The sequence below is a fragment of the Homo sapiens genome, chromosome 12, assembly GCF_000001405.40.
Source record: "Homo sapiens chromosome 12, GRCh38.p14 Primary Assembly".
Taxonomy (NCBI): domain Eukaryota; kingdom Metazoa; phylum Chordata; class Mammalia; order Primates; family Hominidae; genus Homo; species Homo sapiens.
In genome coordinates this window covers 111,213,418-111,238,873 of record NC_000012.12, presented here as the reverse complement: position 1 = coordinate 111,238,873, position 25,456 = coordinate 111,213,418, and the positions used below count along the sequence as shown (strand labels likewise).

General features: G+C 48.1%; 1 protein-coding gene across 7 annotated transcripts in view, besides 2 other annotated features; it reads right to left on the bottom strand.

Moving 5' to 3' along the window:
* CUX2 (cut like homeobox 2) overlaps window positions 1–25,456 on the bottom strand; it is a 316,390-nt gene that overhangs the window by 111,681 nt on the left and 179,253 nt on the right. For all 7 annotated transcript variants that reach the window (XM_017019081.2, NM_015267.4, XM_011538069.3 and 4 more), the window contains 2 exons: window positions 24,564–24,674; window positions 20,937–20,984 (listed from right to left, as the gene is read on the bottom strand). In XM_017019081.2, coding sequence (XP_016874570.1) covers window positions 20,937–20,972 — 36 coding nt within the window. In that variant the 5' untranslated portion in view covers window positions 20,973–20,984; window positions 24,564–24,674. The remainder of the gene's footprint in view (window positions 1–20,936; window positions 20,985–24,563; window positions 24,675–25,456) is intronic.
* Window positions 20,160–20,659: an enhancer, noted in NCBI's record as "H3K27ac hESC enhancer chr12:111656019-111656518 (GRCh37/hg19 assembly coordinates)". NCBI's record gives its function as "activates a minimal SCP1, AML or CMV promoter by ChIP-STARR-seq in primed H9 embryonic stem cells {active_cell/tissue: H9 hESC(primed)}" and the evidence as "EXISTENCE:reporter gene assay evidence [ECO:0000049][PMID:30033119]".
* Window positions 20,660–21,161: an enhancer, noted in NCBI's record as "H3K27ac hESC enhancer chr12:111655517-111656018 (GRCh37/hg19 assembly coordinates)". NCBI's record gives its function as "activates a minimal SCP1, AML or CMV promoter by ChIP-STARR-seq in primed H9 embryonic stem cells {active_cell/tissue: H9 hESC(primed)}" and the evidence as "EXISTENCE:reporter gene assay evidence [ECO:0000049][PMID:30033119]".

The following is a 25,456-nucleotide window of genomic DNA, read 5'->3' as shown; positions in this document are numbered from 1 at the left end:
AGAGTTTTGCCATATTGGCCAGGCTGGTTGCAAACGCCTGACCTAAAGTGACCCACCCGCCTCGGTCTCCCAAAGTGCTGGGATTACAGGTGTGAGCCACCATGCCTGGCCAGAGCCACCTTTTGAGACCTGAGTGGAATTCATGTGTGTGTGTGTATGTGGATGTATTTATATATACATAAAAACTAGGTTATGTAGTTCTTGTTCACTGCTGTATCCCCAGAGCTCGGCACATAGTAGGCACTTAATAAATAATAGTTAAGGGCAAGGACTCTTGAGCCAGACTGCCTGGGTTCAAATCTTGTCTCTGCCACATGCCACCAGCTGTGTGACCTTGGGTAAGTTACCTAACCTCTCTGTGCCTCATTCATCTCATCTGTAAAATGTTGAGAATAACAACATCTCCCTTAAAGGGGAGTCATGGAGGATAATGAAGTGGTATCTGCAAAAGACCTAGAGTGTTGTCTGGAACATAGAAACGGCTACAGCAATGTCTGCCAACATTATTATGTGTCAACAGTCACTTAATAACTATTTACTCAGCACCTGTTGTGTGTCAGGCACCGTGAGGGACCCAGGAACATCACAGTCTACAAAATGCTGCCTCCTTCCTTTGGTTAAGTGGGAGGGACAAGTACTATGTGAGTAATTAGGCAAACAAACATATAATTACAGACTGTGCTAAGCGTTGTAAAAGGTCCTGGGAAGGCATGTACTGGGGAGGTCTGCTTGAATTTGGGTAAGTCATGAAGGCCTTCCCAAGGCAGTGACACTTGAACAAAGATCTGAAAGACACGTAGGTGTTAGGTCAGTGGTTCTTGGTGATTTGGTCCCCGAGGGGACATCTAGCAACGTCTGGAGACATTTTCGGTTGTCACAGCTGAGGAAGGTGCTCCTGGCATCTAGTGGGGAGTGGGGGATGCTGCTAACATCCTACAATGTACAGGGCACCCCCACCACAAGGAATCATCCAGTCCAAAGTGTCCATAGTGCCAGCACTCAGAACCCCTGCATTCAGGGGGAGAAACGGGGGCAGGGGAAGAGCAGAGGGAAGAACAGGTGCAAAGGCCCTGAGTTGAGGACAGCATTTTCAAAGAAGTGCAATGACGGGTGAGAAGAGGGAAGGGGCACAAGTGGGCAGCAAGGCAGGGGCTGGAGAGCAGATGGTCTTGGAGGTGGTGGCCGGAGGTCTGGGTTTCATTCTGGGTACCACTGGAAGTTCCCAGAGGTTTTAAACAGGGAGGCGTGCCATGTGATACCTGTTTCTAAACAGCTCACTTGGGCTGCTGGATAAATTCATCTGGGAAGCAAGGGGCTGGATTCTGTGATGCCTGAGTTATGTTCAGGAGAGACAGGGACGTGGACAGCCCACTGTTGCCCTTCGAGTCGGGCACGGTTGTGAAGGCAAGGTGGGGACGCCCATCATTCAGGAGGCCCAGGTGAGGACAGGGACCTAGGGGATCATGAAGTCTCACAGCCAAGGCCACATTTGAGTGGAGTCTTGAAGGACAATTGAGGATTTGCCAGGGGGCTTAGAGGAGGAAAAGCATCCTGGGAGAAGGGAACAGAATGTACAAAGGCTCAGAAGCCTGGCACAGCAGCTCGCTACCTGGGATAAATCGGGGTCAAGCTGTCAGGTGATGGGGGATGGATATAATAACCCTTCCTTATGTTGGATGCTGGAAAACTTTTGCCTCTTTTATTTTTATTTTATTATTGTTTACAGAGACAGGGTTTTGCTCTGTCACCCGGGCTGGAGTGCAATGGTGTAATTTCGGCTCACCGCAAACTTGGCCTCCCAGGCTCAAGCGATCCTCCTACCTCAGCCTCCCAAGTAGCTAGGACTACAGGCACATGTCACCACACCCAACTAATTTTTGTATTTTTTGTAGAGATGAGGTCTCATCATGTTGCCAAGGCTGGTCTCAAACTCCTGGACTCAAGTGATCTGCCTGCCTTGGCCTCCCAAAGTGCTGGATAACAGGCATGAGCCACTGCACCCAGCCGCTTTTGCCGCTTTTAGGAGGCAACATTTCTCAGACAATTATTTTTGAAATCCTCATGGAAAAGAATACTAAAACGCAGATTGATAACTCAAAGCTGCTAGTGCAGTGGCAGAGTTTGAACCCAGGTCTCCCCCTATTATATTGAACATAAAATTCCTATTGCCTCTCGATGTATTATTTATTTCTTTTTCTTGTCTTCTGGGCATTTCTCTTGAACCAGTGCCAATCAGGCCTCAGCCTGTGGTCCTGAAGCCTCCTGTAGACTCTCTCTCTCCCTGTCTCACCCCAGGGCACGGGGTTCAGAGCTGGACCTGACACTCCATGTGACCTGAGCATGATTATCCACCTTGCAAGCAGATCTGCTCTGTGTAACTGAGGCCCCTGCGCTGATCGTCCCATCTCCTACCTGCCTGGTCTTTACGCCTCAGTCACTCATCTCTACAACAGGCATAATAATAACCCCTATCCCAGGGGCTTGTGACAATGATTTCTAAAGTCAGTATGTGTAGCAAGCTTAGCAGAGAGCCTGATATATACTGAGACCCAGGAGATCTGGCTGCTGTGGCTACTGATGTTCCTAGGAACAGTATTCTTGGTCTGCAGCGTGTTTGAGGAATCTGTTGGTTCAGCACGAGCCCTTTCTTAGCCCAGTGTTTGGTCTCAATGGGAAAAATGATGGTGATAACAAGGATCATTTCTTGAGCATCTACTATGTGCTAGGCATAGTGTCATGGAATCCTCCAACAACAACCCTATCAGGGAAGGACAAATACTATCCCCCCTTTTCCAGATAGGAAAGATGAGGCTCAAGGAGGGGAGATGACTTGCCTAAGGTCATATGGCTGACGAGAGGCAGACCTGGGGCCGTGCCAGGTCCCACTGGCTCCTGGAGGATTCCCAGACTGAATCTCACAGGTTGGGTATCCAACAAAGGGGCTTGTTTCCCTGAAGCCAGGTCCTCTTCTGCTAATGGTGTCATGTCCCACTGGCCCCCAAAACCTGAGCCCCAGACCCTCTGTCTCCACCTGCCACATCAACCTGGATCCCCACTTCCCAACTCTTTCAAACCTGTCTCCACTTTGCTGCTCCTCTGTCGCTGTCCCAGGCCAGGTTATCATTAGTGCTCACCTCATTCTTTTTTTTTTTTGAGATGGAGTCTTACTCTGTTGCCTGGGCTAGAGTGCAGTGGCGCGATCTCAGCTCACTGCAATCTCTGCCTCCAGAGTTCAAGCAATTCTCCTGCCTCAGCCTCCTGAGTAGCTGGGATTACAGGCACATACCACCATGCCTGGCTAATTTTTGTATTTTTAGTACAGATGGGGTTTTACCATGTTGATCAGGCTGGTCTCGAACTCCCGACCTCATGATCCACCAGCCTCAGCCTCCCAAAGTGCTGGGATTACAGGCATGAGCCACTGTGCCTGGCCGCTCGTCTCATTCTTAAGTGCTCCAAAGCACAACCCAACTCTGAGTCAGCCCCCTCCTGCCTGTACACCTCCAGAGAGATCTTTCTGGAACTTGGTTTCCGGTCATCCTTCCTTATATATCCAAAAAGCTTCTGTGGTACCTCCCTCTGCCCACAGACAAACTGCAGACTTAACTTGGCATTCAGGACCCTGGTGTCCTGCCCATGTGTGTTTCCTGGCCTTGTCCTCTCCCCCAGCCCCGCCTCCCAGCACTGCTCACTAAATAGCCATCCGGGAATAATTATTCATTTTAAGCTTTCTTTGTGCTAGTATCATGCTGAACACTTGATATGCATTACCAGCTCACTCAACCTCTTGACAAACCTATGTACTAGGTACCGTTTTATTGATGAGAAAACTGAGGGTCAGAAAGAGAGGAAGTGGGCTGGGGACAGTGGCTCATGCCTGTAATTCCAGCACTTTGGGAGGCTGAGATGGGGGCATCACTTGAGGTCAGGAGTTCCAGACCAGCCTGGCCAAAATGGCCAAACCCCATCTTTACTAAAAATACAAAAATTAGCTGGGCGTGGTGGTGTGTGCCTGTAGTCCCAGCTACTCGGGAGGCTAAGGTGGGAGGACTGTTTGAGCCTGGGAGGCAGAGGTTGCAGTAAGCTGAGATCACGCCACTGCACTCTAGCCTGGGTGACAGAGGGAGACTCTGTCTCAGAAAAAAAAAAAAAAAAAAGAAAGGGGAAGTGGCTTGCCTCAGATCACCTCACCGGTGTTCAAACTGGTCTTGAACCCAGGTCTGCCTGATGCCAAGACCTGTGCTCACCACCACTCTTCATTCCCCATGTTCCATCCTGCCCAATCTTCCTAATCTCAGCTGGGACCTCACTTCCTCCAGAAGTCTTCTCTGATTGCCTGCCCAAAAAATAACCACTCTCATTGGTACACCTGGGACATTTGTTCCTACTGCACACTGGCTTTTTTTTAAGTGGACCTTGGGCATGGGATCCCAATGGTGGCTCAGCCTCCTTGCTGAACAGAGTTCATCTCTTTCTCTAGCCAGCTCAGCACAGGGAAGAATGCATAGTAGGAGCTTTATAACATCTGCCAAATTGTTAACAGTCCCTCCTTGCTCCTGCTTTGCTGCTCCCTGAATTTGGCAGGCCTCTTGGGTTTCATTCCCATTCACCTGTCCAAAATGTACCACTGTGTGCAAGGCTGTGTATTCAGGGCTCTGTCCTATTCCCTGACAGTGAGTGAGGTGCTCTATCTGTGAGGGAGTCCACAGGGCAGCAGACAGGGTTATGTGCTAACTTAATTCTGTTTTTTTACCCACTCTTGGGCATATAATGTTAGACTATAGCCTTGAAATTGGGTATGGTTTTGTAACAGAGTTCTGGACAAATGAATGTGGGCAGAAATGATGTGACCACTTCCAGTTTTGGTCCCTGAGAACCTCCTAGGAGGGCCATCATGTTTTCCTCTTTTCCCACCTACCAGATGATGGTAGACGCCTGGATCCCTGAATGACTGCATGGATCAGAGCCTCCCCCACCACAACTTCTATCAACCAGCGCTAGACTGTGATGTAACCTCATCTGTGTTTGAAGTTGTTACAACAGAAACGAGCCCATTTTGACTAATGCAGACAGGCCTGGGTTCAAATTCTAGCTCTTCAACTTCTCAGTATGTGATCTTGGTGTCTCAATCAGAGTATCAGTTTCCCCTTTGTAAAAGAAACACAATGTTCTCAGGATTCTCCAGAATATTCCACAACAGCCCAGATGTCGGATAACCAGCCCTGAGTATGACACTCAATCAGTGCTCAAGAAATAGGAACTCCCCTTGCTCCCCCGCCCCCTCCCATCTCCCTCACCCCATCTCTGTGTCTCAGTCCCTGGGTCTCAGGGCAGGACCTCTGCTCAGTTCTGGGCCGTAGGATTCAGTTGATTTTAATCTTCACTGGATTCTGCCAGTCTTTGGTTTTATGTATTTTAATTAAGTGTTATTATTTTGTGCTTGTGGTGAGAGTGATTTTATTATAGGGCAGGAGTTTATAAACCTCAGGAATGAAATAAATAAGAACCTTTGTCTGTTGCAGTGTGGACTCCAGGGCCAGGAGGGAGAATAAACAGAATTTAAGAGGCGGTCTGCAAGGGTAGGGAGGCAATGGTGGCCAGCGAGCCAGAGACACCTGGCTCAAGATGATGCTGTGCTTGGCAGAGCAGATATGGAGAGACTGGGGGCCAGGGCACAGGAGCAGACCTGGGAGCTCAGACCACCTCTCATTGGCTTTCAGGCCCTGCAATTCCCACTTGCCTCCTGCCTTGGGGCATTTGTACCTGCTATTCCTTTTACCTGGCATGCCGTTCCTCTCTTCCTGTGACTAGAATGTCCCTACTCTTGCTTCAATTCATACACAGGTCACTTCCTCCTGGAAGCCCTCCTTGACATCCCAGGATGCTCTCATAGCCCCAGGAAGGTCCCTGGTACAGTTGGAATTATATATTTACTTGATGTGCGAGTGTCTGAATTACAACTGTCTTCCCGCGAAAGGGTCAGCTCTGTGAGGGACTCGTCTTTGTCTTATTTGCTTCTGTGTCTATAGCAGTGCCTGGCAGTAGGTGCTCTGTAAATATTTGCTAAGGAAATGAATGAATGAATATGTGAATGAATAAGGTGATTAAATTTCTCCCATTCCCTCCACACCTAAAAGCAGGGGCTGGCAAACTTTCCCTGTAAGGGGTCAGATATATTCATCTTTGTGGGCTAGATAGGTTCTGAGCTATCAACAGCCGTACCTCAGTATCCATGGGGAATTGATTTCAGGACACCCTGAGGATACCAAAATCCTCCGATGCTCAAATCCTTTATACAAAATGGTGTATTGTTTGCATATAATCTACGCACATCCTCCTGTATACTTTTATTTATATTTTATTTTATTTTTTGAGACAAGGTTTTGTTCTGTTGCCCAGACTGGAGTACAGTGGTTGTCACAGCTCACTGTAGCTTCAAACTCCTGGGCTCAAGCAATCTTCTCACCTCAGCCTCCTGAGTTGCTGGGACTACAGGTGTGCACCACCACGCCCAGCTAATTTTTAAAAAATTTTTGTAGAGAAGGGGTATCACTATGTTGCCCATGCTGGTCTCAAGCAATCCTCCTGCCTCAGCCTCCCAAACTGCTGGGATTACAGGTGTGAACCATTGTGCCCAACCCTCCTGTATATATATATATATTTTTTTTTCAGATGGAGTCTCACTCTGTCACCAGGCTGGAGTGCAGTGGCGCGATCTCGGCTCACTGCAACCTCTGCCTCTGTATGACACTGATTGAGTGTCATACTCAGGGCTGGTTATCTGACATCTGGGCTGTTGTTGAATATTCTGGAGAATCCTGAGAATATTGTGTTCTTTTACAAAGGTTCAAGCAATTCTCCTGCCTCAGCCTCTCGAGTAGTTGAGACTACAGGGGCGCACCACCACACCCAGCTAATTTCTGTATTTTTAGTAGAGACAGGGTTTCACCATGTTGGCCAGGTTGGTCATGATCTCTTGACTTCATGATCTACCTGCCCCAGCCTCCCAAAGTGCTGGGATTACAGGCATGAGCCACTGCACCTGGCCCCTCCTGTATACTTTAAATCATCTCTAGATGACTTATGATTCCTAATAAAATGTAAATGTTATATAAATAGCTGTTATACTGTATTTTTAAAATTTATATTATTTTTAATTGTTGTACTATTATTTTTTAGTGGTTTAAAAAATATTGCTGATCTGAGGCTGGTTGAGTTCATGGAACCCATGGATACAAATGGACTGTGTTCTAATAAAACTTTATTTACAAAGATAGGCTTTAGCCCAATGGCCACAGTCTGCTGACTTCTGACCTAAAGCATGCAATTGCACCTCTGTTCTCACTTGTTACAAGGATTGTCTGTGGTAGTTTACTGGGGTCAGCCTGCAGTGGCTTACAAAGCAATTTTACATTTTCAGAAATTTTGCAATCTGGTTGTTAAACACAGCCACAAAATTAAATCATATAAACCTACAACTAAACAAATTTTGTTAAACATAAATGTAATACCACATGTGTGAACCTTGAGGACATTAAGCTCAGCCAAATAAGCCAGTCACGAAAGGACAAATACTGTATGGTGCCACTTATAGGAGGTCCCTGGAGTAGTCAAATGCATAGGGACAGAAGGTAGAATGGTGGGTGCCAGGGGCTGGGGGAGAGGAATGGGGGGAATTAGTATTCAATGGGTGGAAGTTTCAGTTTTGCAAGATAAAAAGAGTTCTGGAGATGGATGGTGGTGTTGGTTGCACAACAGGGCGAGTGTACTTAACTCATTGAACTGTACACTTAAAAATGGTTAAGACGGTAAATTTTATGTTACGTGTATTTTACCAGAATACAAAATTTGAAAAAAAGGCAATACATACTCAATGCTCATGACTTCCTAATTATTTGACTACATTCCACTGCTGTCTGTGCTCTGAGGTTTTTTCCATCTACTGTGTGTGTGCTGGAAACACTCTATAATGTTCTGCACATCTCTTCCCAGCCCCCTGTCAACGACATCATGTTTGCAGCTTGAAATTGGCCACGGTGGGAATATTTACACCACAGAAATGAGCAGATGCTACAGATCAGGGCTCCTCCCAGCCAGCTAGTTGTTCAGCATTTACCAGCACAGCCCTGGTTATTTCCACAGGTCTGTCTCTTCCGCTAGATGGTGAGTTTCAGGGCAGGGGCTCTCAAACATGTGAATCACCAGAATCTTTTACAATCCTGACACTCAAGCCTCATGCTAGACCAAGAACACCAGCCACTGTGAGCTGGGACCCAGGTCTTAGTATTTTTTAAAGCTTGCAGGGGATTCCACTGGGCAGCCAGGGTCGGAAGCCAGTGGGCTCTGAGGTCGAGTGTCTCAAACTTTCATGTGCCCATAATCACCAGGGGACCTTGTTAAACTGCAGATCTTGGTTTTAGAGGTCTGGGACATGGAGGTGGGGGATGGAGACTGCACTTCTAAGGTACTTCCAGGTGATGTGGATGCTGCTGGCCTGGTGACCACACTGAATAGTGAAAGATTCTAGAGAAAGACACCGCTGTAGGCAGCACACAGGCAGCCTCACACTCAGCTCTGGAACTCACCTGTGAGTCCCACTTTGGTTGGCAAATCTCTTTTTCCTTTCACCTCTTCCCTCTCCCCATTCCTCCCCTCCCCGTTCCTCCCCTCCCCCCCTCTCCTGCTTCCTTCCCTCCCTCCTTCTCTGTCTCTCTTTTTGAGATAGGGTCTTGCTCTGTCACCCAGGCTGAAGTACAGTGGCATGATAATGGCTCACTGTTGCAGCCTCGACCTGCTGGTCTCAAGCAATCCTCCCATCTCAGCCTTTGGAGTAGCTGGAAATTTTTTTTTTTTTTTTTTTGAGACAGGGTCTCACTTTGTCATCCAGGCTGGAGTGCAGTGGCACGATCTCAGTTCACTGCAGCCTCGACCTCCTGGGCTCATGCAGTCCTCCCACTTCAGGCCCCCTAGTACCTGGGACTACAGGCGTGCACCACCACGCTTCGCTAACTTTTTTGTAGAGATGGGGTTTCACTATATTACCCAGGCTGGTCTTGAACTCCTGAGCCCAAGCAATTGGCCTGCCTTGGCCTCTGAAAGTGTTAGGATTATAAGCGTGAGCCACTGTGCTTGGCCAAAAAAACTTTTTTTTTTGTAGAGACCAAGCCTGGTCTTGACCTCCTGAGCTCAAACAATCCTTCCACCTCAGCCTCCCAAAGTGCTGGGCTTACAGGTGTGAGCCACCATACCCAGCCAGGCAAATTTCTTTCAACTGGGTGATCACATTGGTTCTTCACCCATCCCCCCAGGATAAACAAGGTGGATGTTACAAGAACCCATTTTATGGAACAGGAGACAGGCTAGAGGGAAAGTGACCTGACCTGGGCCCATCTTTCTCCTGGCTGTGTGACCTAAGATGGGTTTCTCACCCTCTCTGGGCCTGATTCCTGCTGCTCAGGGCATCTGGGAGGTTTGACTGATATTGGATGTCTGAAGGCCTCCTGCAGGGCCCACCTCAGAGAGGACACCCACATCTAGAAAGATTCCTTCTCCTGTATCTAAATTTGGGGGTGTTGCTTCAGGAGCCCCATTCTGGCAATGACCCTAGGGGGTCACGCAGTCCAGCCCCTCTGCCTCTGAGCTAGGCCAAGAGTGGGGGCCTTTCTGGGTGCAACTGTACTTTGCCTTTGTGGAGGCAGCATTCGGCACCTCCACAATTAGTTAATACACCGGGGGATTATTTTAGAGTCATAATCATCTTAATTGTAATAATCATGGTAATCGCAGCCTCTGACACTGATCTAAGCTTTCTCTGCACCAGGCACTGTTCTACGCCTTTATATCTATTACCTCATCTGATCTTCACCTTCACCTATAAGATGAAGTGCCATTTGTACCTCTGTTCTCACTTGGTACAAAGATTGTCTATGGTGGTTTACTGGGGTCAGCCTGCAGTGGCTTGCAAGGACCATTTTACAGATGACGATGAGTCCCATTTTATAGATGAAGACATCAAGGCACAGAAAAAAAGAAAAGTGCCCCAGTCACAGATTACAGTTGACCCTTGAACAGCGTAAGTTTGAACTGTGCGGGTCTGCTGACACACAGAATTTTTTTTTCAACCAAATGCAATAAAAAACATAGTTTTTAAGGCCTGGCACAGTGGCTCACACCTGTAATCCTAGCACTTGGGGAGGCCGAGGCAAGTGGATCACCTGAGGTCAGGAGTTCGAGACCAGCCTGGTCAACATAGTGAAGCCCTGTCTCTACTAAAAATAAAAAAATTAACCAGGCATGGTGGCACGGGCCTGTAATCCCAGCTACTCAGGAGGCTGAGGCAGGAGAATCGCTTTAACCTGGGAGGTGGAGGTTGCAGTGAGCCGAGATTGCAACAATGCACTCCAACCTGGGAGACAGAGCGGGACTCTGTCTCAGGAAATTATACACACACACACACACCATAGTTTTCACTGGATGTGAAACCTGCATATATGCAGAGCCGGATTTTCCTATATGCAGGGGGACTTGCATGGTTTTGGGTATGGGGCAGGTCCTGGAACCAATCCCCTGCATATACTGAGGGATGACTATAATAAGTAGCAAAATGGGGAGTTGAACCCAGGCAGTCTGGTTCCAGAACCACACTCCTAACCACTGTGCTATACTATCTTTGAGGTAACTCCTGTGCATGATGTAAGTATGCATGTCCCTCACTGTACTTTTAGCTTAGAGACAGGAGCATGTGTCTTGTTCCCTGCCTATCCCCAGGGCACTGCACAGGGTCTGCATATAGTGGGGCTCCAGAAAGCATTTCTCAATGAAGGAATGGGTGGGCTGGTGACTCTCTCCCATCCCCATATCCTGACCTTGTGAAACTCAACCGTAACGTGATTGCCGCTGGCGCTGTGTAGGGGTGTGTGGGTCCATCTGTCTCTCCCATGAGGCCATGTGTGCTGTGAGGACAGGAAAGGTATCTGGGGCCACCTGTTGCCACATCCCTGAAGGCTGGCACTCACCCTTGTATACAACAGGTGCCAAATACATGCTGCGAAATAAAGGTCTCTGGAGGGAGGCAGGGGTGTGCTCTAGGGGAGCTGGTTGGAGGGGTGAGGGCACTTGGGGAGAAGAGGGCTGGCCCCTGGGGTGGGGGTGTGCCCTCTAGGGGAGCCTCCATCACTCCCTGCCCCCAGCTGGCTGCCCTGGCTGGTTTTCCAACAAGAAAATATAGGAGAAAGCCAGAGTGCGCAGGAGGGGGACACAAGGCTGCCCCAACCCCAGAAGCTATGAGGACTGCAGCCCAATGGGAAGGCGGGATGTACGCCTGGAACCTTAGGTTTTGGAGAGAACAGAGAGAGTGTCCAGAGCTCAGCTGGTAGCAACACTGAATCACCACGATCCTCTTTACTCTGCATCAAGTTCTTGATCTGCACCGAATCCTGCCAGCCTCCCTAGGAGGTAGGTCCCCATTTTACAGACAAGGAAACTGAGGTTCACTGAAGAACCTGGCAATGGGCAACGAGCTGCGATTTGAACCCAGCTCCAGGCGACTCTAGGCTTAAGTCACTTCTCCACTGCCACAGGCTCCAGATGAATGAGGAATTTGCACTCACCCTTTCACCCCCGGAATTCAGTGCCGCTCCTGACACCCAGTCGGTACTCAAATCCTTCCTGAACGCATGAGTAAATAGTAATGTTCACCACCTCAGCCCCTGCATCTAGCGCCACACCTGGCACCTAGTAGGTGCTCAACAAACATCTACTGACCAGATAAATGCAGGACTGCAAGAGTGGCTACAAGACCTATGCTGGTGTCGGTGGGGCTGTTGCGGTAGCTTCCATCTTGTGTCTCCCACCTCCCAGGAGGCAGACGTGAGCACTGAGAGACACTGGGCCGACTGAGCCATGAGATGGATGCACGCCCAGCGGCCTTATCTCCCCACCGACTGGCCCCGCACGGCCTTCCATAATGCAGTCCATTAAAAGCCTTGTAAATTTTCATACACGAAAGCCTACCATGGCGTCGGCACAGACTAATTGTTGTTAAATGTGCGGGAATGTTACTGCCACGCGGCTGGAGCGATCACTCTTCCCAGCCCGGCCCAGACGCCAGCCCATTCCTCTGCAGGCGGAAAGCTTACAACATTCGCACAAGGCCAAAAAGCAATTCGTGTCAAAAAGATCAATAATATAAAAATAAAGCGCGAGAATTCTAGTTAAAGGGAATGTCATATAAATATGTGGTTCACGTCCATGACTCCAAGATTAAAAAAATCAGTCAATATCGTTCTTTAGATGATGTTATTTCTAATGAGAAATACCCGGAACAACTGCAAATAACTACTTAACTGGGGGGAAAAAAGCATTAATAATTTACTTTATAAGGCATATAATACTGAATGAAAGAGGATTGCTGCTGGTTCTTAATTTGGTTGTAATATGGCGTGACAGGTTCAATAATGCTTTGGTGGGTTCTTAATATTAAATTCGGAAGGATGTTCATTCAGTTCATCGTTAAGTTTTACCCCAAGCTGGGCAGGGCAGACTTCCAGAGGGGCAAGACTTGGTTATGGGCAGCCAAGGAGCATGCACCATCAAAGGAATTCTGTTATCAAAGAGGAGGGAGGATGGGAAGGCCAGGTGTGATGGCTCACGCCTGTAATCCCAGCACTTTGGGAGGCCGAGGCAGGAGGATCACTTGAGGCTAGGAGCTCGAGACCAGCCTGGCCAACATGGTGAAACCAAGTCTCTACAAAAAATACAAAAATTAGCTGGGTGTGGTGGCGCACGCCTGTAGTCCCAGCTGCTTGGGAGACTGAGGCACCAGAATTGCTTGAACCCGGGAGGCGGAGGTTGCAGTGAGCTGAGATTGCGCTGCTGCACTCCGGCAGCGGAAAAAGGGTGGGTCATGTGTGTGCACATGTGCATGTCGGGGGCAGTAGAGAGGATGGGAGGCCTTCTTCTCATTATATCTGACGTGAGCTGCAAGCAACACTCTTGTTTATTGAGCACTTATTATGTACCAAGTTCTGGGCTGGATACACAGACTTGGGCTCGAATCACAGCTCTTTGTATGCGGCGGGCTTTCCTGGCAGATTCTGCCTGAAAGAACAGTTCAGCAAAGAAACATCTAAAAGGCATGGGCCTGGCTGAGTGATGAGCTCCTTTCTGGCCCTAACCACCTGCAGATCTCCAGCTGGGTCCCTAAATCTAGAATCACCATCCTCAGCTCCTTCTGCACCCCCAGACCCCTCAAGGGGCCCGTTTGGCCCTCCAAGCTGAGGTTTGCATCTTCTGCTCTCTGTTCAGCTGATGAACCGCTGTGTGAGCTCAGGCAAGTCACTTGACCTCTCTGAGCCCCAGTTTTACACCTATAAAAGGGGACAATACCAGCTGTGCCTTCCTGGCTGCGTTGCTGAGAGGAGGTGACACAACAGGCATCCCGCTAAGTGATGGATAAACCTTGCCAGCTGATGTCCCTGCCCGAGTTCCCACTCACCATCAGGGGCTGCGGGCTGAGCCTCAGTCACCTCACCTGAGCAATGGGTAGGAGCAGAAACTTCATCATGGGGCTCATGGGAGGGATAAACATGATGTGCTCAGTTTCAGCTCACCTGCTGGGAATGCCAACTCATGCTCACTGAACACTCACCATGTGGTGGGCTTTGTTCTTGGGGCTTTTCAAGTATCAACTCATTGAGGACTCCCATCACTCCTATGAAGTGGGTACTATTACCACCATTTAAAAACAGAGGACCAGCCCAGGCCACATGGTGAAACCCCATCTCTACAAAAACTACAAAAATTAGCTGGGTGTGGTGTTGTGCGCCTATAGTCCCAGCTACTCGGGAGGCTGAGGTGGGAGGATCACTTGAGCCTGGGAGGCGGAGGTTGCAGTGAGCTGCGAATGCACCAATGCACTCCAGCCTGGGAAACAGAGCAACTCTGTCTCAAAAATTAAAAAAAAGAAAAGTAAAAGCAGAGGAAAGTGAAACCCAGAGAGGTTATGTGCCTTGCCCAAGGTCACACAGCCAGGAAACAGACGATCTAAAATGTAAGCCTGAGCCAATTTGGCCCTAAAACCCACAGTTGCCCCTACTGCTCATCCCCCAGGGTGGCCTCACCGGCCAGCAAGGCCACTGCTCCCTGGCCTCCCCTGCTCCCTGCCCTCCCCTGCTGTCAGAACTGCACGCATCTAACATCTGTTGTGGTTCTAAGGGGGCCCTGTTTACAAAGGGATAGTCATACCAGTGCCAGGAGTGCCAGGGAAAAGGGTAGTTTAGGGAGTGAGAGAATTATGCCATCAAAGACAGCTGGAAGAGCAAATAACGTTAAAAGGCAAAAAAAAAAAAAAAAAAAAAGCCCTGTAATTAAATTTCAGCTCAAACGGAAGAGCAAGAGTTTGCAGGCAGACACGGAGCAGAAGGGGGGCACAGGAACCAAAGAAGGACGCAGCACATGGGGCTGGGTGGGGGCTCGGGGCCAGAGCAGGGAGGGATGTGCACATCTTGGGTGATCTCAACTGTGAGGAAACCCTCCACTCCCCTCTCAGGAAGCCTGGCTGCAAGCACAGGAAGTGACCCACTAGAAAGGTCTTCTCCAAGGTTAGGACTACCCTTCCCCACCGACGATTGTCTTGGTGGGAGAATCAGAAAAATCTCAGTGTCTCAGAAAGCATCTGGGCCTGGGGCAGGGAGGACGGGGGAATGGTCTGTCCTCTCGGTCATCTCTGAGAGACCAGGGCCCCCATGTTATCAGATTAGTGGCCAGAGGGATCCTGTTAAAATCTGAGTCAGAGCTGGTCCCTCCTCTGCTCTAAAGCCTCCCATGACTCCCACCTTATTCAGAGTTGCAGTCAAAGTCCTTACAGTAGTCTCAAGCCATTAGCTTTAGGCAGATGCATAAAGACAGATGATGCTAAGCACCAGTGAATGCCAGGGGCTCCAGGGTTGATGGAGGGTCAGGGTGGTCAGGGAGGGTTCCCTACTCCCCCAGGACCTGACATTTGAAAGGAGTTCATCCAGCAAAGAGATGGTGCAGGGAAGAGAATTTCAGGCAGAGGGCATGGCAAGCACTGACACCCTGAGGTGCGAATGAACCAGGTGTTCACAGTCAGATGGCAGTTGGGGCTGCAGTCATCTGACGGCTTGACTGGGTTGGATGTCCACCATGGCCCCTGACTCCAGTCTGGTACCTCAGCACTCCTGGCCTCTCCGCCATGTGCTGTCTTATCCCCCAGAACCTCTCCATGCAGGGTGGTCTCCAGGTAGTCACACTTCTCACATAAAGGATGGGTTTGGAGAGATGTGGTGGGGAGAGCCAGCAGGTAGGCTAAAGGCTATGCTGGATCATGGCACAGTGTCACCTCCACCATGTTCTACTGGTCAAAGTAGGCACAGGCCCAGATTCAAAGGATGGAGACACAGACTCCATCTCTTGGCAGGGGAATGCAGGGACACACGGCAGATGTGCATGGGATGGAGATACTGCCGTGGCTGTCATCGGGGCAGGGTGTCAATGTGAAGCGCAGCAAACAAATAGAACCTCTGGGATGGAACCGACGGCCTCCCTTGGGCTTCTGGACATTATTTCAGAATCACAGGGACTTGGCTCCTACAGACATTTTTTCTTTTTCTTTCTTTAAAGGATTCCATGCGGAATCCTAGGGACATCCTTGAGGGCAGGGATGGTGTCTCACCATCTTTGGATCTGCAACAGTCCTCACACAGAGCCTGGGACATAGAAGGTTCTCCACAAGGATCTGTTGAGCGGACCTGCACGCTGCCAATAGAAGGGTGGCCTTGTCTCCTTTGGGAAGTCCTTCTTCCGGGTACTGCAAAAATGCTTGCTCTCCCTCATACCAAAAGGAGGCGAGGTGACCACTGGGTTGTGACCATCACTGGGCCAGCATCTGGAACCCTGCCTAGTATGCAGCAGCTATTCAATAAATGCTTGTTGAGGTGACTAAATGATTACATGGGCTCAAGTGATGATCTAATGCATCTTTACCCCCTTCTCTAAGCTCCTAGAAGGTGATCATGCCACACGAATTCCCCCAGACCCTGAGTGATTAGAGGGAGAACGTTCTCAGTCCCACACAACCATGCACGCCCACCATGGTGACAACAAGTGACTCACTGGCCACTTGACACACAGAATGTCACTGAATCTCATGCAATCCTATGAGCTGACCCTATTTACAGATGAGGAAACAGTGGCTCAGAGACATAAAGTCACTCGCCAAGGTCACATAAGCTTGTCAGTGTGAGGGTGGGGCTCAGACCACAGGTGTCTAACCTCTCCTGGGTGTCAGAGGCCAGGTCAGCCCACTTGGTCTCCAAACTACTGTGTTTCAATCAGGCCCAGGTGAATGTCTCTGTTCCAATCCAACCCAAAAGGTTTTCCACCATACAGGCCACATCCCCTTTATGGTGGAAGAAAAAGGCGGCAGAGAAAAAGAAAATCTCCCAACAGTGGCCCTGTGGTCTTTCAAGCTGGGACAGTGCACACGCGCTTCAGAAAAGTTTCACCTCCGAGTTAGCATAACAAAACTTTTAATTTAGATGTTTTCATGTCTCCCTCCAAGTAAAAATAAGTTTAAAATAATGACTGTAATAAATGAAGGTAATTAATTGTAGTTTGTTCCTTTACTGTCTAGTCAGCTTAATTTTACCTTTTCAACTAATAATGAGAAAATAATTTTTGTGCTCGGAGGGTTAATGATATGTAACTGCGAGAACTGCTAATTGCATGTTGCAATCCATCCATCAACAACCCCATCTGTGCGACTTGATTATGTTTGCTAAATTATTGCTTTGAATTATCTTTCATAAAGCAACTTTTATAATTAGCGAGGCTTTCGTCTTGCTCTTTTCTCTGTACGCAAGGATATTCAAACTTTGGCCATTTCAAGCTGTCTCCATTAAGCCACCTTCTCTGGCTGTCTTTGTTTCCCTGAACAGGAGAAATCTAAACTGTCCTTTAAGCAATCAAGGCAGACAGAGAAGCTTCCTTGATTCACAGCAGGGCAAATTCACTTCCTCTCCACCCCCTCCCACCGGCACGCACACACACAAACACACACACACACAGAAAGAAAGAAAAGAGACCCACACATATATAATATAAAAAGATAAGAAGTATGCCCAGATTCTGAACACACCAGGGCTGGTGAAGCAAAATTCAGGAATAACATGGTATATTTTATTGAACATGGTATATTTCATGGTACTTACCATGAAACTGAACATGGTATATTTCAAGGAAAGGCCTGCACTGGGAAGAAGGAATGACGGGCATGATATTCTGCCCTGGCGTTTTATGGGCTAGTTTATGTGACTTGGGATGGTATTTGCTCCAGGGAATATTTCCAGGAGGTGATTAATACCCACTTGGGAATCGCAGTGCCAGCCCAGAGCCTGGTGGATTGCAAGAGGACAGCGGCATAAAGGATGAGGCCTCATTAAAAAAATTAAAATGAAAATCAAATTTGGATTATAAATGGCCTGTGCATGTGCAGCTTTTTCTGGACGAAGAAGATGCTTTTTATTAACACCTTCCTTTGGCAGCGTCTCTCCCCTGAGGCACAAGGAGGACACAGAGGCCACAATGGCTTAGTCAATAGATCACGAGAAAAGCAGGGGTTTCGGGAATAAAATTCCAGACAAATGTAGTCTTCTTGGTACATTAAAGGGACGATGGAAAGCCCTCTTAAGAAAATTAACAAAGTTCTTTAAGGTCTCCAGCTATTAAAGCAGCATCTATTCAATATGCCACATGGGTTTTGAAAATGAGAATTCTGCTTTGTCTTTCCTTTTGGCCTAAGACTTTCTCTGTCCTAGTATTTACTGAGCACCAACGGTGTGCCAGACCCTGGGACTGCCTCCATGCTGCTGAAGTGTTTGAATCCTTTTTCCTTTTTTTTTTTTTTTTTTTTTTTTAAGAGACCAGGTCTCGCTCTGTTGCCCATACTAGAAAGAAATGGTATAATCATAGCTCACTACAGCCTTGAACTCCTGGGCTCAAGTGATCCTCCCACCTCAGCCTCCTGAGTAGCTGGGACTACAGGCACAAGCCACCATGCCCAGCTCATTTAAATTTTTTTTTTTTTTTTTTTTTTTTTTTTTTTTTTTTTGCAGAGATGAGGTCTCATTATATTGCCCAGGCTGGTCTCAAACTCCTGGCCCCAAGTGATCCTCCTACCTTAGCCTCCCAAAGTGCTGAGATTACAGGCATGAGTGACTGCACCTGGCTTCTGAATCCTTATTGTTAGCCTTATTTGCCAGAGGAGGAAAGCTGAAGTTCAGAGAGGTTAAGGAATTTCCCCAAGGCCACACAGCTGGTTTAGGAGCAGAGTTGAGGTTTTGACCAGGCCTGAGTCAGATTTGCATGTATTTTCTACCATGCTTCAGTCAGGTCTTCTCCCGAACATCACCCAAACCTAGGATTTCTCCTATTGAAAAGATAACATAAGTCATACCCACTTCCTACAGGAAAAAAAACCCTGAAACCCATCTTTGAGATAAAAAGCCTTCAACACCTAGTTAGGAAAGTGGCAGATGGCAGCTCAGCCATACTAGAGACCCAGTAAACCTGTACTGGAGGTCACTGCTCATAGGAATAAAATATCCAAGACTTCTCATATGCAAGGCAGTATTTTAAGCACTTCATCAGTGTTAACTTTGTTCTTCCTCAATCTCACCCTGTGAAATATGCATAATTTTTTTTTTTTTTTGAGACAGAGTCTTGCTCTGTCGTCCAGGCTGGAATGCAGTGGCGTGATCTTGGCTCACTGCAACCTCCGCCTCCTGGGTTCAAGTGATTCTCCTGCCTCAGACTCCTGAGTAATTGGAATTACAGGTGCCCACTACCACACCTGGCTAATTTTTGTATTTTTAATAGAGTTGGGGTTTCACTATGTTGGCCAGGCTGGTCTCGAACTCCTGACCTGAAGTGATCCACCCTCCTCGGCCTCCCAAAGTGCTGGGATTACAGGGGTGAGCCACTGCCGGGCCTCAAATATGTATAATTATTATTCCATTTTACAGATGAGGAAATGGAGGCACAGAGAGGTTAAGTAGCTCACCTCAGATCACACAGCTAGTAAGTGGGAGAGGTGGGATTCCAACCCAGGCTGGCTCCAGCATCTGTACTCTTCACCCGCTAACAGCTCTTCGTGTGTCAGACATTACATTAAACCCTTTCCCTGCATTAGATCTCAGTTAATCCTCAAAACAACATGAAAAGACTTGTCAGTGTCTTTATACTCCCATTTAACAGATAGGGAAAACTGAGGCTCTAAGAGGCCAAGGGATGCTCTGTTCACACCAACTCAAGCAAGGAAACAGCTGAGAAAGTGATGCTCTCTACAAACAGCTGAATGCCTGTCTTTGGATTGGGCAGAGGGATCAGCTGCTATAGGGAGCTTGTGTGCTGAGCAGCTCTCCTGGGACTAGGAGTTGGTAGATGGGAACCTCTATTTTTTTTTTTTTTTGTAACACAAAGTCATGACATTATATAGGAACACAAAGTTCCTAACATTATTGGTCTGTCTAGTTTTTTTCTTCCAAGCCCAGGCACCTTGCAACCAAATGAACCAATACTGGATGGCCCTATAAATAAATAAGCACATCAGTCAACTAGGTAATAAAATGAAAGGATGAAAAATATGGAAATCAGCGACATTTGTGTAAATCCAGTTATTGTTTACTTTAATATTGCCTTATGTGCTTATGTGGTTCCAAAGAGACAGATTTAAAGTAATGTGGCGCTTGGTGGATGACAGACTTAAAATGCATCCCCTCTGGTGAGATCCGAGTACGGCCAATCCTTCTGGGGTCCTGCCTGAGTCCAGGGAAGCCTGAGAAGAGCCCCCTCAAGATGGAACGCTTTAGAAATCCCTGGACCCACATGATTCCAGTCTTTTCTTGGCCTGCCTCCTGTGCCAGCCAGACAAGTGGACATTATCAGACTCTTGGTTACGAAGTCAAGCAAAGAGGAGAAATGGGCGGGGTGGGGCGGGGGTTCACCCTGATCACAGGGCTTCCAAAAAGCAAGAGAAATTATTTACTGAGGACAGCAAAGGAACTAGGGCTCAGCGGGTCGGCAGGAAAGAATGTGGACAATGTCACTTTTATACTCAAAGAGTGGGCTGGTGCAAAGAATTTCTGGTTGGGCTGGTAACTGTGTGGACTTATCTGCAAGGCTGCCTCAGAGAATCAAAGGACAGCAGAATGCCAAGAGAGGGCAAAGGTCATCTAGTACCAACCTCTGATTTTAAAAATAGGAAACCAAGGCTGGAAGGTGAGGTAGGTTTGTTCAAGGTCATAGATCTTTCTTAAATTTTATTTTTTTATTGTTTTAGAGACAGGGTCTCGCTCTGTCACCCAGGTTGGTGTGCAGTGGTGCGATCATGAATCACTGCAGCCTCAACTTGCCGGGTTTAAGCAGCCCTCCCACCTTAGCCTCCGGAGTAGCTGGGACCACAGGCACGTGCCACCATGACTAGCTAATTTTTAAATTTTTTTGTAGAGATGGGGGTCTTGCTATGCTGCCTAGGCTGGTCTTGAACTTCTGGCCTCAAGTGATCCTCCCACTTCAGCCTCCCAAAGCACTGGGATTACAGGTGTGAGCCACTGTGTACGCCCCAAGGTCACAGATCTCACATGTAGCAGAGCCATTGTAAGGCTGGGCAAAGTCGAGGGAGAGGGAGATTTCTTGGGATCAGACTTGAATTCTGTCAAAATGAACAGAGAACCAATTCTCATTACTATACCATTCGGATGGGAGACCAGAGGGAAGGGCACAGAGTTTGCAATGGGGACAGGGAAGCTTCTCCAAAGCTTCTGGAGGCTGCTGGCCCCCCTGGGCAACTCTAGGTGGGATAGGAGGGGGAGCCATTGGGGGCACTTTTCTGACATGCTGTGGGCCCTGGGTCTTACCTCGGCTTGGAAGCTTTTTAATACAGGAGCCACCATCTCTCTGATTTCCTGAAAAAGAGATCAGCAAAGAGTTCACTACAGTGCCAGGTGGGACGCCCCCGTGGCCCCTGCTTGTAGCTCGCTGCTGTCCCTGGCTCAGCATTTCCCAAGCATGTCCCGTGGGGCCTGAACTCCATTGGATTTCACAAGGGACACACGCAAACAGGGGTACCAAGCCACACCAGACTGGGAAACGTCAAGTCCAAGGGGTTTCTTTCCTGCAGGACTTTCTGGAGTCTTTCATATAATGCATGTTGGGAATTTCCAGAAGACAAAGGAAGTGGCGTTTCTCAAATGAATGTGATCATAGAATGGTCTTTTATGCGAAATATCTTGTGAGATAGGTGGTCCATCCCAGGTCACACTTTGGAGTGGGGTGGGGGCTGGAGAGGTAACCCCAATTCTCCATGCTCAGCACTACATGAAAGCCCTTCCTTAAAAACCTTCTGCCCTTCAAGGTGTCGCCCGGGGCTGCCTCTTTCAGGTTGCAAGGTCTCCGTGACCCTACCCTGTAGCCACCTCTCCAGCAAAGACTGCCTTTTGCATTTTAGCAATGCCACTTGTGTAACTGACTCTCCTTCCTCACCAGAACGTGCAGTTTCTGCAGTCTAGGCTGGGTTTATACCCCATTCGAGCTCTGCAAATGTCTGAGGAACTCTATGGACGTGGGCTGTCTTCAGAGGAGGTTTGTCACAGCCACCCTGAGCCTCCTATTTCCAGACTCTAATTTCCTGGCTTTCATAAGTGACCTGAGGTTCCCAGCAACTTGGGCTAGCCTGGCAAACTCCTATGTATTCTTCTCCCCGGCACGTAAGAGGGAAACCTTAAGAACCATGTGTCCCGAGACTCCAACCCTAATCCTCCAGTTTCCTGTGAGATCTGCTGGTGTGACTCCCCCATCACAATCAGCCACAATTACCAGTAATCCCCATGGGAGGCACTGAGGGACTAGATAGGGTGGGGAGGGGTTGCCCCAGACAGAGCAGAAAAGGAAGAGATGGGTTGAAGACTTATGGGCAGGTAAAGAATAAACCCCTTCATTATGCAAATAACACTGTGTTGCTCCTGCCCCTGATTCTAGGTCCCCAGGGCTTTCCTGAGCCACTGATTGATAGACTGATGTATGTTGGGGACCTTCAGGGGAGACACAGTCCTAGTAGACTTGACCATAAGGGGCCATGGGTGCGAGGCTGAGCCATGGATAAGGAAACTTCTGAGAATCTGGGTCACAGGTGGTGAACTCAAATGCCTACCAGGCTAGGCAGGAAGCAGCTACGAGGGAGGCTGGGACAATGCAACCCCCACCGATGGGGTGGCGTGCTCTGCTCTAGCTTATGACGGCAGCATGAGCACGGAACCTCTGGGTTGCACAATCTACCAAATATTCTCAAAAGGCACCGGAAATCCAGTTTTTAGGTGAAATCATCTGAGATGCTAAATATTGGCAACCCACCGTAAAGTTCGAAAGACTTTACAGACTAAATAAAAATGTGATGGCGGGAGACCTCTGGTCCATGTTCAGGAAACATTAGTTCTGGATGGGACCTCTCAGAAACCATCTCTCAGTTCCTTGAGTTTACAGAAGGGGAAACTGAGGTCCCAAGAGGGGCTAGCCTGCTCAAGGTCACACAGCAAGTGAATGGCGCAGCTAGAATTTGAGCCCAGGTCACTGGACTCCCCAAACAGGCCCTTTTCAAAACCCCACACTCAAGTATCTGAGCATTCTGGGAGGGATGGGTTTGGCGGGACTTCGTGCTAATGCTGCCCATTTCTAGAAGCATGCCGCCTCATCTGCTTCACGGCTGGGGGACGCCGAGCACAGGCGCGAGCAGGAGGTGAGCTGGGCACCAGCCAGAGGAGCTCTTAAATAAAGCCTCGGCGTGACTTTCTCCATCAGGAGAGACTGGCTCCAAAAAGGAGAATTTTCAGAGGCACGACTATAATAGGAATGGAAACTTATTCCTCTTAATTACATAATTGCATAATTATGCAGTATTAAAATTATGTAAGCTGAACTCAGAGGCTTAAAACATGGCCTGGATTTCCCTCATCACCTGGGGGCTCCCACATGGCCTCAGAAGAAAGTCAGTTGGGCTAGAAGGAAGATGAGATAGAGGGTCTAAGCTGACCAGGGAGAGGGCATGTGCAGCTGTGAAGATGTGGGGCCGATTCAGCTCTGATTCCTGGAGTCAAAGGAGAGTCAAAGGTAACCTCATTCTGGGGAGTTTCCAGACCAAGCTGAGCTCTGTTCTAAAAGGCGAAGGAAGGGTTCTCGGCATCACTGATGCCTTCTTGGCTCTTGGAGTCAAACCAAAGGCCTGGCTTGGCTTTTCTGAAGCCACAACATGGGAGAGGCTTTTAGACCTGAGATTCATGCCCCTTCTCCATGTAGACACTCTCTTCCTTCCAGACTTGCTCCATGGACAAATTCTAGCTAGATCCTAGTCCCTTCTCTTGCCTTGAAGAACCAAAGACATTTATGACTTGTGTGAGATGGATTTTGCAGCTAAGAGCCTGAGGTGGACCTGAGGCTTCTCCCCTCTGTGCTCATATGACCTGATCCCTGGCTGGGTCTGCCTATTCCCTGTCTTCCCATGTTCCCCTCCCTGACCAGCGAGATGGCAACAGGACCCCCCACCAATCTCGGTATCAGACTGGCAGAGTGTAACTGCTGGAATCAGGGTCTCCCATCTGAATGCTAAACTCTGCCCCACCTTCCTCCAGCACACCTGAGCAGGTAAGGACAGATGTTAACCTTCTGCCGACCAGAATGAAACACAGTTGGCTTTGGGGAGATCTGGCCGCAGAGATCTCTGATGTCTGTTCCCTGTCACAGCCCTGATGTGCCACATCCTTTTTATATAGAGTCAGAGGGCTTTATTTTCTCTATTTATGTTTATTCTCATCATTTGTTTTGTAATTTGAGAAGCAATAGGGGGGCCTGCGAGAGGATGGAAAAGAATTCACACATCCGGGCCGGTAAATAACAGAAACTTGTCTGTTCTAGTCTGTTCCTTGGGGGGCCCTTACATTGCTGGGGGCTGGTCATTCTCTGTCCCCCACCAAGCTCCCTGTAATGACTGCTAGAAAAGGCATAGCTGGTTGCTGGGACTGCAAGGGAGGCGGTGAAGGGGAAGAATGAGGTGAACGTAAAGGGGGTGAGAGGCCGAGTTTCAGAGACGATGAGTGCCGGCAGGCCCCGAGAGGGTGTTAGAGAGTCGACGGCTGTCTTCTTCCAGACGCCAACGGGAAAGCAAAATAAAATCAAGAACTCTAAGGCACATTGTCTTTGCCAGCAAGGCCAGGCATCTGACTTGGATATGAATGTTGGGGGAAAATGGATGTTTCACAGCGCCCTCAAAAAACAATGACGTTGATGGAGAAACGCCCCGCCCTCCCTTCAGTAGGCACCGCTGAGCACCACTAGGCCAAGAAACCCCGAAAGGTTAGGGGCTGTCATTTTTCTTTGTGGCTAATTAGCTTCTTTTCTTGTTAGTCACTTGCATCTACAGTTTTCAAAATATAGTTTGAATGGAGAGAAATCTGCATTCCTACTGAGTTAATTCTATAACGGCAAATATACCATACCTCAGGTACATTTTTCTTAAATTCCCGGCGGAGTTCAATTAAATGTTTATGAGAATGTTCACTCTCCTCCTGCCGTGCAGACAGCTCAGAAGCGACGGAATTAAGCTCCTTCTGGAACAATAAAAAAAAAAAAAAAAGAGAGAGAGAGAAAAGAAAAAGATTTTTCTTCTTTTTTTCCTTTTTAACCACTGTACAAAACAGCATTCTGAACAAGTTTTCTTAACTTACAAAGCTGAGAAAAGACAGGATATTGACTCCTGGCACAAATAAATAATTTACAAAACTGGGATGCAACTGAAAAAAAATCCAGGACAGCTTTTTTTGCTCGTCGGAAGTCAGGCCAGATCAATAATCTTCTATAAAGTTGGGTGGAGTTGGTTGTTTTTTTTTTCCATCTCTTCCCCCCACCCCCTGCCCCACCTCTTAAATTTCCAAAGGAGTGATGGCATAAGCTTGTCAGTAACTGTAGAAAACATCTCCAGACCATGTCAAAATAGTAAAGTGCGGCATATTGTATGGGCATATTATAGTGGAAGAAAGTGCTGTCGACAGCTTTCATATATCAGAGGTGGGAACGGCTCCAACTATGACTTACTTACACTTAAAGGTTCATAAATACGCCTTTTAAGATATAGATGGCTTTTTAATTTCAGTAGATTTTGGAAAAATGAAGGTGCCAATAAGAAGTAAGCTGACCTTTTGTGTATCTCGCAGTAAATCATTTAAGGTTCACTTCAAGTCTAAGAAATATTTCATTGAAGACTCCTGGATTCAGAAGAAATGGATTGGAAGGTGCTTTGCTGGCTTATATGCAAGGAAGGTATCAGACCAGGTTTTTATAGGATGTACCAGCGAGGGAAAAAGAGAGAGAGATGGAAGGGGGGATGCTTCGG